This window comes from Homo sapiens, chromosome X (assembly GCF_000001405.40).
Source record: "Homo sapiens chromosome X, GRCh38.p14 Primary Assembly".
Classification (NCBI taxonomy): domain Eukaryota; kingdom Metazoa; phylum Chordata; class Mammalia; order Primates; family Hominidae; genus Homo; species Homo sapiens.
This window is the reverse complement of record NC_000023.11, coordinates 93,668,854-93,683,461: the sequence shown is the minus strand read 5'-3', so window position 1 is coordinate 93,683,461 and position 14,608 is coordinate 93,668,854. Positions and strand designations below refer to the sequence as shown.

General features: G+C 35.7%; 2 protein-coding genes across 13 annotated transcripts in view; one reads left to right on the top strand and one right to left on the bottom strand.

Annotated features, from left to right (window-relative positions):
- Positions 1-9,781, bottom strand: part of FAM133A (family with sequence similarity 133 member A) — a 38,585-nt gene extending 28,804 nt beyond the window's left edge. For 5 of the 12 annotated variants that reach the window (XM_017029454.2, XM_017029455.2, NM_001171109.2 and 2 more), the window contains exons 1-2: positions 9,188-9,256; positions 8,710-8,781 (exon numbers count right to left, since the gene is read on the bottom strand). The gene's annotated coding sequence lies outside the window, so the exon portion shown is untranslated. Of the gene's footprint in view, positions 1-5,511; positions 5,547-8,709; positions 8,782-9,057; positions 9,257-9,679 lie in introns of those variants that run through there. The other 7 variants (NM_001171110.2, XM_011530929.2, XM_011530925.3 and 4 more) reach the window with 5 other exon arrangements.
- NAP1L3 (nucleosome assembly protein 1 like 3) lies at positions 9,884-12,532 on the top strand. Its single transcript, NM_004538.6, has one exon. It carries the CDS (start codon positions 10,158-10,160, stop codon positions 11,676-11,678), a length of 1,521 nt encoding a protein of 506 aa, NP_004529.2. The 5' UTR covers positions 9,884-10,157; the 3' UTR covers positions 11,679-12,532.

Sequence of the window (14,608 nt, the reverse complement as noted above, 5' to 3'; positions counted from 1 at the left end):
CAGGAAAAGGCAATGTGGCAAGTTTGATTATGCTTAATTCAAGCAACAGATTCTGATAAGAATAAAAGTAACTGGGTTATTAGGGTAGCCATTTTATGAGATAGAGTACTGTTTATTAAAATAAGCTCTGGTACTCTGATCTATATTTTCCTTTAAATGCTCATTATATGTAAAGCAATTTTGCAATACTTATCTAAAATACTGTCCTTTAGAAAGAAAATACTAATGAAATGAAAGGGTTAAATAAACAGACATTTTAATTTAATATTAAATGTGGATCATCATTAGATTTCAAAATTTTTCTTCTGAAGACTCTGTGTGTCCTCCTAACTATTAATAGTTTGTGAGGTGTTACTATTTAGAAGTTGGTTGGTAAAACACCAATTCTTTAAAACCTGAAAATTTAGTAAACTAATGTAATTTGTTGCATGACAATTACACATTAGTAAATCAGGCACAATTAAGAGACAACTGTTAAATAAAATTAGAGTGCAATTAAAGGCTAAAAATGAATTTTATTTGAACAGCAAGTAAAAATGGTACTGCTGGCTGAACGCGGTGGCTCACTCCTGTAATCCCAGCACTTTGGGAGGCCGAGGCAGGTGGATCACTTGAAGTCAGGAGTTCGAGGCCAACTGACCAACATGGTTAAACCCCGTCTCTATCAAAAATACAAAAATTAGCTGGGCATGGTGGTGAACGCCTGTAATCCCAGCTATTTGGGAGGCTGAGGCAGGAGAATGGCTTGAACCCGGGAGATGGAGGTTGCAGTGAGCCGAGATCACACCATTGCACTCCAGCATGGGCAACAAGAGCAAAACTTTGTCTCAAAAAAAGAAAAAATGGTACTGCTGTAAGGAAGCCAGTTCATTTGTTTAAGAAGTTAATTAGTACAGTACTAAATGTATTCTTGTGCAGAGCAATACTCTGAGCAAGGACAGAGGATTATAAATAAGAAAATATCTTGGTCCTTTTCCTAGGTAAATTTAAAATATACATAGGAAAAGAACATGTGTGTGTACACACAATAAATGACCTATGTGGTTCTGTTATAATGTTTATCATAAAGCTCACAAAAATGTAATACACTCCAAGCAAATAAGCTCTGAAGGAAAGAAAGAGTTAAAGAACTATGTTCCACTGGGTAACTATTCCTGGAGAAGATAAGTTTAGTAAAAACTGTTTGGACATGCACTATGTTATCAGAATTTTACATGTATTATGTCATTTCAAGCTCACCATTGCTCTGTGAGATGGGTACTATTATTATCCCCATTCTACAGATGAGGAAATTGAGGCATAGAGAGTTAAGAAATGTGCCCAAGGTCACTGGAGGGTAAAGGACACAGCTTGTACTTATACACTGGTTTGATTCAAGACAGTGAAGTATCACTAAAAATTTGGGATTAGGGCAAGGATATAAGTGTTTTCAGAAAGACCTTTCAAAGAACTATGTATAGCATATCTGAGAGGCTAAGGGGCAGTTTGGGGGCTGCTACAAGCAGATTGGTCAGATAGTCTAATCATTTATGTAATTCTCTTGTCATGTCATATTTAATCTTTCTTACAAAGAAGGCTAAACACATTCTCATGATGTAGATAATGAAACAGTTTTAATTAAGGTATCCAGTTACCTCTAAACAAACAAAAAAATGCTTATTCTTTTAGATAGACAAATGCTGCTTATAAGAGAAGACAGACAAAAGTGGTCAATATTATAATTTTAAAATTTTGTTTACACCTGTTTTAAGACAGTTGCTAAATCAAAGTAATGAATCTAGAGAATGTAGGCCTCTATTTCTTCTTTCTCTGACAAGCAGATTTTTTAACCAAAAGCAACAATTAGTTCATTGACATCTTGTTTGTTTACTCACTTCTTAGAGAATTGTGAAGTGTTAGCTATCATCACCTTGAAAGTATCAATACTAGATTTGCTGAAGCATTAGTCTATACTACTTACTAAACATATACTTTCATAGAAACATCTGCCAGAATGGAGAACAACTACTTTTTTTCTGAGAGGAGGTACCTAATGAAATTAATTAAATATATTTGGATAGTCTGGAAAAAAATCAGCAGAAAATGTCACTTTGGGCTTCCTCCATTTTGTCCAAATAAATTGCAAAATGGGGAAATAGCCATTGCAAAGATAGATAGATAGATAGATAGATAGACAGAATATATCTAAGATATCATATAAGATATATACATATATATCATATGCACATAAGATATATCTATATATATTGTAAACATTGTCCATTTTTCAAAGTCTTTGGATTTTTTCTTCCTTTATAGTAAAATTAAATAAAATACTTTCAAACTTGCAATAAAAAGGCTTGCTTTATTTGAATTGTAGGATGGAAATTCTTCAGATGAGTACTACAGGCAAAAAATTCCTGATTACCCTTGTAAAAGTATTCTTCCGTGATGTGGTTTTACATTTTTGAAAAATGTACGCTGTTTGTACATTCAAAACTAGCATTAGCAACAAAAGCAAAAATAGACAAAAGGCATCACATCAAACTAAAAAGTTTTTGCACAATAAAGGAAGTAAATGAGTAAAGAGGCAACGTATGGAATGGCAGAATATATTTGCAAACCAAACATATGATAAGGAGTTAAATATTCAAAATATATAAGGAACTCAAACAACTCAGTAATTTTAAAAAACATAATTTTTTAAAATGAGTAAAAGATCTGAAGAGATGTTTTTCAAAAGGCATACAAATCGCCAATAGGTATATGAAAAAATACTTGACATCACTAATCATCAGGTAAATGCAAATTAAAAACATAATGAGATATCATCTCATGCCTGTTAGGACAGCTATTATCAAAAAGACGAAAGGTAAGTGTTGGTGAGGATATGGAGAAAAGTTAACCCTTGTAAACTGTTGCTGGTAATGTGGATTAGTATAGCCATTATGGAAAACAGTATGGACATTCCTCAAAACTACTGTAAGAATGGAACTACCATATGATCTAGTAATCCCAGTACTGAGGATATATCCAAAGGATATGAAATGAATACATTGAAGAGATATCTGTACTCCCATTTTCATTGCAGCATTAGGTACAATAGCCAAGATATGGAATAAACCTAAGTGTCCATCAGTTGATGAATGGATAAAGAAAATATGGTATGTATACACAGTAAAGTATTGATCAGACTTTAAAAAGGGAAATCTTGTCATTTGTGGAAACATAGACAAATCTGGAGAACAATATGCTAAGTGAAATAAGCCAGGAACAGACAAATACCATGTGATCTCACATGTGGAGCATAAAAATGTCACATTCATAGAAACAAAGAGTAAAATGGGTGGTTACTAGACAATTGGGAGTTGGGGGTTTGAGGAGATACTGTCAAAAGAAACAACACGGCCTGGTGCAGTGGCTCATGCCTGTAATCCCAGCAATTTGGGAGACCAATGTGGGCGGATCACGAGATCAGGAGATGGAGACCATCCTGGCTAATATGGTGAAACCCTGTCTCTACTAAAAAAAAAAAAAAAAAAAAAAAAAAAAAAAAAAAAAAAAAAATTTGCCAGGAGTGGTGGTACACACCTGAAGCCCCAGCTACACGGGAGACTGAGGCAGGAGAATCACTTGAACCTGAGAGGTGGAGGTTGCAGTGAGCCGAGATCACAAACTGCACTCCAGCCTGGGCAACAAAGCGAGACTCCGTCTCAAAAAAAAAAAAAAAAAAAAGACACATTTCAGTTAGACAGGAATGAGGTAAGAGAGATTTTGAGTGTTCTCACCAGAAAAAAATAAGTATTTACGGTAATATATATGTTAAAATGCTTGATTTAGTCATTCAACAATGTATACATATACCAAAACTTCATGTTATATGGCAAAATATATGTAATTTTTACATGACAATTAAAATTTCTTTAAAAAATAGCGCTATGTTAAATATCCAAATTGGGAAACAATTTTCCTTATCTTATGTTGCATTAAACTTCCCTTTTAAACTCCATGCAGTTAAGGGTATATTGCTAGAAACGCAATTCAGAAATGTTTCCTTAAAAAATAAAAATCTATAACAACATACCATATTCTGTTAATTTGAGTATATCTGTATTATAGGAATAAGTATAAAATGAAATATTTTTGTTTGAAAACCACTGCTATGGTTTGAAATGTTATAAAACAACCAATGTTTTATTTATTACTATTAATAATAGTAACATCATAACAACCAATGTTTTATTACTATTCTTTTTTTAACTATAATTTATTAACAGCTTAAAGATACTTTCTATTCAATATTTCCATTTTTGCAAGCAGGTCTCTCTTTATCAGGAGTGAGAAAAACAAGGGCATTATTTGTGCTCCTGAATAATGCTAACTACCATTCTTGTGGCTGGGCTATGGACATCTACACACTGGCAACTCCACAAAATAGAAGAACATTTATGTTTCTTTTTGTTATTTCTTTTCTAGGTTTTTACTGCTGTTATCTGACCCTTTATCTCACATAGTTGGGAGCAGAAGTGAAAGGTCAAGGATGAAGATCCAGCTCCTGTGACTGTCTCCATTGTAATGAAATTCTGTTATCACACAATTTTGTTCTCATTCTTTCCCAAATGCATCTAACAAATGGATAACTACCGATTGTGTCATTAAAATCAGTACACAAAGGAACAGATTAGAGCTTCCAACATAGACCCACACATACAAGGACAGCTAATTTTGACAAATGTGCAAAGGCAAATCAGTGGTGAAAAGACAGTCTATTCAACAAATAGTGCTGGAACAACTGCATATCTATATCAAAAGAAATAAACCTTCAATCCATACCTTGTACTTTTTGCAAAAATGTATCAGACCTAAATGCAAAACCTAAAAGTATAAAACTTAAAAAAAATGGAAGAAAATAATTGTGACTTTGGGTTAAGCAAAGATTTCTAAGAGATGACACACAAAGTATGCTCCATAGAAGAAAAACAAGATAAACTGGACTTCATCGAAATTGCAAACTTCTTATCCCAATTACCCTGATTTGACCATTACACATTGTATTCATGTATTGAAATCACATGTGCCCCCAAAATATGATGTATCAATATAAAAATTACTAACATTTCCTCTTTAAAAACAGTAAAAGGCACCCTTAAGAGAATGCAAAGAAAATATGCAGTCTGAGAGAAAATATTTGCAGAAGCTATAACTGATAAAGAACTTGCATCCAGAGTATATAAAGAACTATCAAAACTTAATGATAAAACAACAATCCTATTTTTTTAAATGGACAAAATACAAATGGTCACTTCACCAAAAAAGATATGTGGATGGCAAATCAGCACATGAAAAGGTATTCAACATCATTAGTCATCAAAGAAATATAAATTAAGATCACAATGAAATACTACTGAATACTTATTAGAATGGCTAACTTTTAAAACACTGCCCATATCAAATGTGAGCACTATTGGTGGAAATGCAAAACAACCACTTTGGAAAACAGGTAATTTCTTAAAAAGTGAAACATACACCTACCATGTGATCCAGTCATTCCACTCCTATGTATTTTTCTAAAAGAAATTAAAACATATGTCCATACAAAACTTATATACCAATGATCATAGCAGCCTTATTTGTAGTAGCCCAGAACTCAAAACAACAAAAATGCCCATCAACAAATTGTAGTATTGCCAGGTAATGAATAATTACTCAGCAGTAAACAGGAAAAATAAACTCCTGATACACACAACAACATGGGTAAATTTCAAAATAAGTCTGCAAAGACAGGCAAAAAGAGGAACATACTACATTATTCCACTTATATAAAATTTTAGAAAATGCAAATTCATCTATAGGAACAGAAAACAGATCAGTGAATATCTAGGGACAAGAGGAGGGATTCAAAGGCATATGAGGAAACTTTCAGGGATGACACAATTTTCATTATTTTGTCTGTGGTGATACTTTCACAGATACACACATTTATTGTGTGCCTATTATCCATCAATAAAATGGTTTTTAAAAAAGAATTCACTTGTGTATTCAGATACAACTTGTCCAAGAAGAACAGGAGGAAGTCATTCAAAAATAAATGAACTTGCAATGCTTTGCTTCTTAGATACCTACAAAAAAAGATAATGCTGCTACACTTGTCATTATATACCTTGCGTGTTTGTGTGGTAGGAGTGGGTGGTGGAAGGGATTGTGTGTATGTTCATATTAAGGGAGGTATCAACAGATGTTAATGTACTATGTTCAGTCTGAGTATACTATCAGATTCTGTGTTATGTATCATCTCATGTAGAAGCATGAACATTTAGCCCCCCCGCCAAAAAATCATGTTAATTGAACAAAAAAACATATCACTATGCAAATAATTTATATCTAACCTTATTAAGAAAAACAAGCATATGATATGATAAAACTAATACTTATATTTCACAGTAGAACAAATAGGATATAATGCATCAATTAAATTGATTATGAAGAAAAAGCTTATTTTCTTTTAGATACCTACTACATAAAATTAAAGAAACTAATTGACCAAAAAAAAAAAAAAGGCTACAAAAATAAGTGTGTTACAAGATCCCTATGTATACACAATTAAAGTAGAGAATTGTGATTAGAAAAAGTCATCTACTTTCAACCATTTTCATTGCCTATATCTGGAAAAAATAATTCCAAATTGAAAATAACAATTGTTGATTAGTACATTATTTTTGTATGATGTTTTTGTAAGCTTTTTTCTATTTTTCATCTCCATGTTCCATTCCAAACTTTTCCAGGATCAGTGTGAGTGGTTAAGTAGTAATCTGTAATCCTTGAAAAGCATCCAAAAAACCCCACAAGTATCCAAAAAAAAAAAAACAACCAATTTTAATATGAAAGTAACTGAAAGTAATTTAGTCACATTTGCCCAATATCATGCGTTATTTCCTGAAGAAATCATAGTTGTCTTAAGTCAAGGCCAAAATCATTTTACCTTTAGGATTTCACCATTGATTAATTTCTTGCTTAATTCAGTGGCAAAAAAATATGAATAGACAATTCTCAAAAAAACATAAACATATGAAAAGACAATCTTACCACTAATCTAAGAAATATGAATACATAATATTGATAAATTAATTTGGAGATGTTGATTACAAATGTAAGTAGTGATTACTTCTCAGTGGTATTTTGAGTTACTTTTAATTTCTTCTTTGTATTTCAATGTATTGCCTGACTTTATCAATGAACACATATCATCTTCACAAAATGTAAAGTTATCTTAAAACCGACTCATTAGTTGTTTGCAGCAAACGTCTGACCAATGGATCAGAAAAGAATTTAGAGACAGACCCAAGCAATTTATTTAATGTGATCAAAATAGCATTTCAAGTAAGCAGGAGATAGAAAGATTACCAAATAAATGGTACTAGAAGAATTAGCTAGCTAATAAAAATAAATATTTTAAAAATCTGGATCCCTAACTCATGACTGACTCTAAAATACTAATTCCTAATGCTACAAAGTTTAAAACATAAGAGCATACATTTTTTTAAATCTCCATAATTTAAAATAAAAATAGTAAGTTTCAGAACAATATTTATGGTATAACATCAATGACGTAAATCATTGTTTCTATAACATATGTTTTGATTAAAATTATTCAACGAAAGGATATGCACTTAGTAAATTTCATTCACCATTATACTACAATCCTCTACCACATTTGCCCGGCATATGACAAGCACAAAAATATATTAGTTGAATAACAAAAAAATGAACTTTATGCACTGTTGGAACTGTAAATTGTGATAATAATTCTGCAGAGAGTTTGGCAATATGTATACAATAATAATTTCATAATATGAAATGATCATCCCCAAGCCATCCATTTCTAGGAATTTATCTTATGACCAATTTTCACAAGTGCATAGAAATACATGCTTTAGGTATCCAGGGACACTTTGATTATAGCAGGAAAATAGTATGTATTTAAGGGGAGAGATGGTATAGAAATGGCCACCCTATAACAGGAATCTGGTCAAATAAATTAAGGCAATTATTTCCATGGAATATGCACTTACTTAAAAATAAGATGTCGATCATTTGCCATGAAAATATAGCCATTAGTAATTGATAAATTAAATGAAAAGATTACAAAACATAATATGGTGTCACATAGATAAAGCAGTATACATAAATAGGCAGGTATGTATATGCACAAGGAAATTTCTGGAAGGAAGTGCATCAAAATGCTAGTAATTCTTATCATTTGGTGGTTAAGATTTTGTGTTTTTACTACTGTTGGAATTTTCTATATTGTTTTATCTTTGCAATGTTCACAGACTTTGACAATTAGAGATAAACAATAAAAGTAAATGCATTTATGAAACAGAAAAGCGTTTCCTAACTTTTAAAAAACGTGATTACATGACAAAGCACAAATTCTATAAAGATTAATCTAACTTTAATACATTTCCTCATTTGAAATGAATAATTTATCATATTTCATATTTTAATTTACCACTTGTATTCTATGACCAGGTTTAGATAGTTAATGCGGTTAAGTATGTAATTGTCTACATTAGTATGCCAAATTACCTCTGTGGATTTTCCTGTTTCCATAGAATTATCAAGATAATTCTCTAAAATAAATCTTTAAATGACTGTATCCTGTAAACTTTTATTCAGATGGAGATGAGTAATTTTTGTCATTCTTTAAAATGTGCTAAATATGATCCTTACCTTTCAATGAAAAGTAAATACTCGTCTTTTTTATTGTACCAAGGGAGTTGTTCTGTAGCAGAAAAAAAAATCCTGTAAATAAAAATAACAAATACTCGTTTTTAAACTTCATTTTGCAAAAGTTTATTCACATATTACTGGACTTGTAAATCATACTATAGTATGGCTAGAATTTTACAACATTAGAAGGAAATTGGTGGCAGATGACATCGCATACACTGACAGAAGATGCACATTCATTAGCACAAATTCCCCCTCCCATCCCACTGTTCTTGGAATTGAAACCTGCTGCACAAAAGTATAACGCAAATCATTTGCTTTTTAACAATACTACCTAACATTTAATACCTCTTTGTTTTATCTACAAGGTTGTTACAAGCATTGAGAAGGGCTACGTGGCAAGTTAGCAGCAAGGTTGGGGTATATAATATGCCAGCCTAAAAAGAGAAATATAATAAAAATGGTGTAACTGACTCACGGCAACATGGGTTCGCAAACCTTGTAGATGGATATAAACCAGGCTTGCCAAACATCACAGACAGCACTTATTAAATCAGCTTCGTGGAATGCAATACGCCTGCTGTCTAGTCCCTCCCTCCTCTGCCAATAACCGACTCTCCCCTTTTTTATCCAGTGTAAAAATGCATGCTCATAGAATATTTAGAGAAAATCGTTTTGTTTTTAAATCGTCCATAGTCACACTACCCAATGACGCCATTTGGACCATTTTCATTCAATTTTTTTTTTTTTTTTTTTTTTTTTTTACAGCTTTTTGTCAAGAGACCCGTGACAAACTAAACGGGAATTCAGGGTGGGCGGATGGGAGAAGGAAGACACGCCTCTTTTGCCCTTGTTAGGAACTATGGCTGGTATTTTTACCTCATGTCTACGCTTTTTTTTCTTTTTTAATTATAAAACTATAAATATAGACTTTTTGGGGGGCAGGGGGACACCTTCCAAGGGGTCGCACCTCAGCCAGCGAGCGGCGTCTGGGAAGGTGGGCGGAGCCAGGAGTAGTGGCGTTTGGCCGTTCGTTGGGCGTACAGTTTGTCAATTAAGGTGGACCAGCAAATGAGGAGCGAACTAAAGGCACACTGGGAACGAAATTAACGGGAGGTCTGACTGCAAGGGGAGGGGGCTCGCGATCTAAAACGAGAAGAGATCTCGGGGTCTCATACTGCGCCATTCGGCTGCGGTACATCTCGGCACTCTAGCTGCAGCCGGGAGAGGCCTTGCCGCCACCGCTGTCGCCCAAGCCTCCACTGCCGCTGCCACCTCAGCGCCGGCCTCTGCATCCCCAGCTCCAGCTCCGCTCTGCGCCGCTGCTGCCATCGCCGCTGCCACCTCCGCAGCCCGGGCCTCCGCCGCCGCCACTCAAGCATCCGTGAGTCATTTTCTGCCCATCTCTGGTCGCGCGGTCTCCCTGGTAGAGTTTGTAGGCTTGCAAGATGGCAGAAGCAGATTTTAAAATGGTCTCGGAACCTGTCGCCCATGGGGTTGCCGAAGAGGAGATGGCTAGCTCGACTAGTGATTCTGGGGAAGAATCTGACAGCAGTAGCTCTAGCAGCAGCACTAGTGACAGCAGCAGCAGCAGCAGCACTAGTGGCAGCAGCAGCGGCAGCGGCAGCAGCAGCAGCAGCAGCGGCAGCACTAGCAGCCGCAGCCGCTTGTATAGAAAGAAGAGGGTACCTGAGCCTTCCAGAAGGGCGCGGCGGGCCCCGTTGGGAACAAATTTCGTGGATAGGCTGCCTCAGGCAGTTAGAAATCGTGTGCAAGCGCTTAGAAACATTCAAGATGAATGTGACAAGGTAGATACCCTGTTCTTAAAAGCAATTCATGATCTTGAAAGAAAATATGCTGAACTCAACAAGCCTCTGTATGATAGGCGGTTTCAAATCATCAATGCAGAATACGAGCCTACAGAAGAAGAATGTGAATGGAATTCAGAGGATGAGGAGTTCAGCAGTGATGAGGAGGTGCAGGATAACACCCCTAGTGAAATGCCTCCCTTAGAGGGTGAGGAAGAAGAAAACCCTAAAGAAAACCCAGAGGTGAAAGCTGAAGAGAAGGAAGTTCCTAAAGAAATTCCTGAGGTGAAGGATGAAGAAAAGGAAGTTCCTAAAGAAATTCCTGAGGTAAAGGCTGAAGAAAAAGCAGATTCTAAAGACTGTATGGAGGCAACCCCTGAAGTAAAAGAAGATCCTAAAGAAGTCCCCCAGGTAAAGGCAGATGATAAAGAACAGCCTAAAGCAACAGAGGCTAAGGCAAGGGCTGCAGTAAGAGAGACTCATAAAAGAGTTCCTGAGGAAAGGCTTCAGGACAGTGTAGATCTTAAAAGAGCTAGGAAGGGAAAGCCTAAAAGAGAAGACCCTAAAGGCATTCCTGACTATTGGCTGATTGTTTTAAAGAATGTTGACAAGCTCGGGCCTATGATTCAGAAGTATGATGAGCCCATTCTGAAGTTCTTGTCGGATGTTAGCCTGAAGTTCTCAAAACCTGGCCAGCCTGTAAGTTACACCTTTGAATTTCATTTTCTACCCAACCCATACTTCAGAAATGAGGTGCTGGTGAAGACATATATAATAAAGGCAAAACCAGATCACAATGATCCCTTCTTTTCTTGGGGATGGGAAATTGAAGATTGCAAAGGCTGCAAGATAGACTGGAGAAGAGGAAAAGATGTTACTGTGACAACTACCCAGAGTCGCACAACTGCTACTGGAGAAATTGAAATCCAGCCAAGAGTGGTTCCTAATGCATCATTCTTCAACTTCTTTAGTCCTCCTGAGATTCCTATGATTGGGAAGCTGGAACCACGAGAAGATGCTATCCTGGATGAGGACTTTGAAATTGGGCAGATTTTACATGATAATGTCATCCTGAAATCAATCTATTACTATACTGGAGAAGTCAATGGTACCTACTATCAATTTGGCAAACATTATGGAAACAAGAAATACAGAAAATAAGTCAATCTGAAAGATTTTTCAAGAATCTTAAAATCTCAAGAAGTGAAGCAGATTCATACAGCCTTGAAAAAAGTAAAACCCTGACCTGTAACCTGAACACTATTATTCCTTATAGTCAAGTTTTTGTGGTTTCTTGGTAGTCTATATTTTAAAAATAGTCCTAAAAAGTGTCTAAGTGCCAGTTTATTCTATCTAGGCTGTTGTAGTATAATATTCTTCAAAATATGTAAGCTGTTGTCAATTATCTAAAGCATGTTAGTTTGGTGCTACACAGTGTTGATTTTTGTGATGTCCTTTGGTCATGTTTCTGTTAGACTGTAGCTGTGAAACTGTCAGAATTGTTAACTGAAACAAATATTTGCTTGAAAAAAAAAGTTCATGAAGTACCAATGCAAGTGTTTTATTTTTTTCTTTTTTCCAGCCCATAAGACTAAGGGTTTAAATCTGCTTGCACTAGCTGTGCCTTCATTAGTTTGCTATAGAAATCCAGTACTTATAGTAAATAAAACAGTGTATTTTGAAGTTTGACTGCTTGAAAAAGATTAGCATACATCTAATGTGAAAAGACCACATTTGATTCAACTGAGACCTTGTGTATGTGACATATAGTGGCCTATAAATTTAATCATAATGATGTTATTGTTTACCACTGAGGTGTTAATATAACATAGTATTTTTGAAAAAGTTTCTTCATCTTATATTGTGTAATTGTAAACTAAAGATACCGTGTTTTCTTTGTATTGTGTTCTACCTTCCCTTTCACTGAAAATGATCACTTCATTTGATACTGTTTTTCATGTTCTTGTATTGCAACCTAAAATAAATAAATATTAAAGTGTGTTATACTATAAAAATCTAGCCTTTTCTCCTGACTATAAAAGAGGGATGCTTATCATAGAAGAAAGTAGAGGATCACAAGGAAAAGGACAATTTAATAAAAAGATAACTATTATTAACATTCTGATGTATTTCCCACATCTTAGCTTTTCTGTTGGAGGACACTCATTCAAGATTTTGGAGAGCAATGGAACAAGGAAAAGGAACATGGCATGGAGGGAAAGGAAGGGAAAGGTAGAAGGGGATGGGGATGGGTAAGGGAGGAGGGAGAAAGGAGGGGTGGAGAAGAAAGAAGAGAGGTGAAAAAGGGAAAGGGAGGAAGGTGGGTAGCAGAAGGAATGTGGGGGGGGGGCGGTGGCAAAGGGAACTGGAGAGAAGAGGGGAAGGAGAGCAGGAGTGCCTCACTCACAACACCAGTTATGTAGAAGACAAGCTATGGACCCACCCTTCACCTTGACTTGGAAGGAGGTCACACTACCTTGACTCATTTTTTCTTACAGTGATACCAGGCTCTCATCTCTTCACCATGCAGCTGGTCACAAAGAGATCCTAAGATTTTGGTTTGAGATAAGTGTGAGGAGGTTCTCTCACACTTAAACTCAGTTTACCAGGGAGCTTTGCACTGGACATAAAGGAAGAAGCACAGCATATAATAAAGTGGTACCTTATTTCACATTTGCCATTTCCCAGTCCACAAATGTTTCCCTTGAAAATCTCATAGGAAACTGTAGCCGAAGTAAGAGAGGATTTTAGAATTTCTGACTCTCTAGGCCTAAAATGATCTATAATAGTCTTCCGTACCCTACCATATATAGTTTAGCATCTCACTTTTATTCTGCTTAACAATAGTCACTCCCCAATTTCTATAATGTAAAAATATTAAAACCAATGTCATATTTAACCCACCACATGTGTTCAGATAGTTAGGTTTGCTTTATGATTTTCCACAACATCAGGAAGCAAATTATTGTTTTTAGCAATACCACAGCGTTTTTTGTTTTTTTTTTTTTTGTTTTGTTTTGTTTTGTTTTGTTTTGTTTTAGACAGTTTCACTTTTATTGCCCAGGCTGGAGTGCAACCTCCGCCTCCTGGGTTCAAGTGATTCTCCTACCTCAGCCTCCCAAGTAGCTGGGATTACAGGCATGTGCCACCACACCCAGCTAATTTTGTATTTTTAGTAGAGACAGAGTTCCTCCACATTGGTCAGGCTGGTCTCGAACTCCCAACTTCAGGTGATCCGCCCACCTCGGCCTCCCAAAGTGCTGGGATTACAGGCATGAGCCACTGCGTCTGGCCCATAACATTGTTTTTACAGTGCCTATTTTATTTCTGAGATTTTTGCATCCACGAAGAATGGATATGGCAGATTTACTTATATGCCAAAACCAAAATGAAGAATGTAACAAATATAGTGTACCTGGCTCCTGATGCATAGGTGTCCAAATAGGATATATACTGTACTTGCCAGACATCACAAAGAGCAGAGCCCTTAAAACTTCTACATAGGATGCAATATCCTTTTTGCATCTTAGAACTCTTAGCAAAAGTATTTAGCACCTTCCCTTTCTGTGTTCTCCATATTAAAGGAATACATGTTATTATAGAATGTTTGCAAAATAGAAGCAGAAATGCAGAAGATGAAAATCACTCAGAAGCACACTATACTAAGATATGCTCTTTTGTGGTTTGGTGTATTTTTTCCCAGTTTATCTCTCGGTAAGGTTTTATTACTGTTCTTTTTAACTTTAAAGTTAGATCTAGGGATGGGGCAGGCTTGCAGAGAGCCGAAGATTTATGCATCAGTAAAGTTGGGATACTGGAAATGCAATCAGCCGGTAGTGGATGCTTCAACCACCTCTGCATGTTAAGAAAGATGGGCAGAGCCAGAAAACTCATTGGACTGGCACATGTATTGGGCTTCATGTTTGCCCATCACACTTGCTCAGACAATGAATGATGTTAGAAGGAGAAGCCCGCTGGGAACTAAGCTAAAGGGAAGCTGAGATAGTGAGAAGTGTTCAGTGGGTCATCTTCTGCACCTTCCTTATGGTTTGATGTTTCTTGTTGCTGTGACTCAAAGTCTAGGCCAGCTG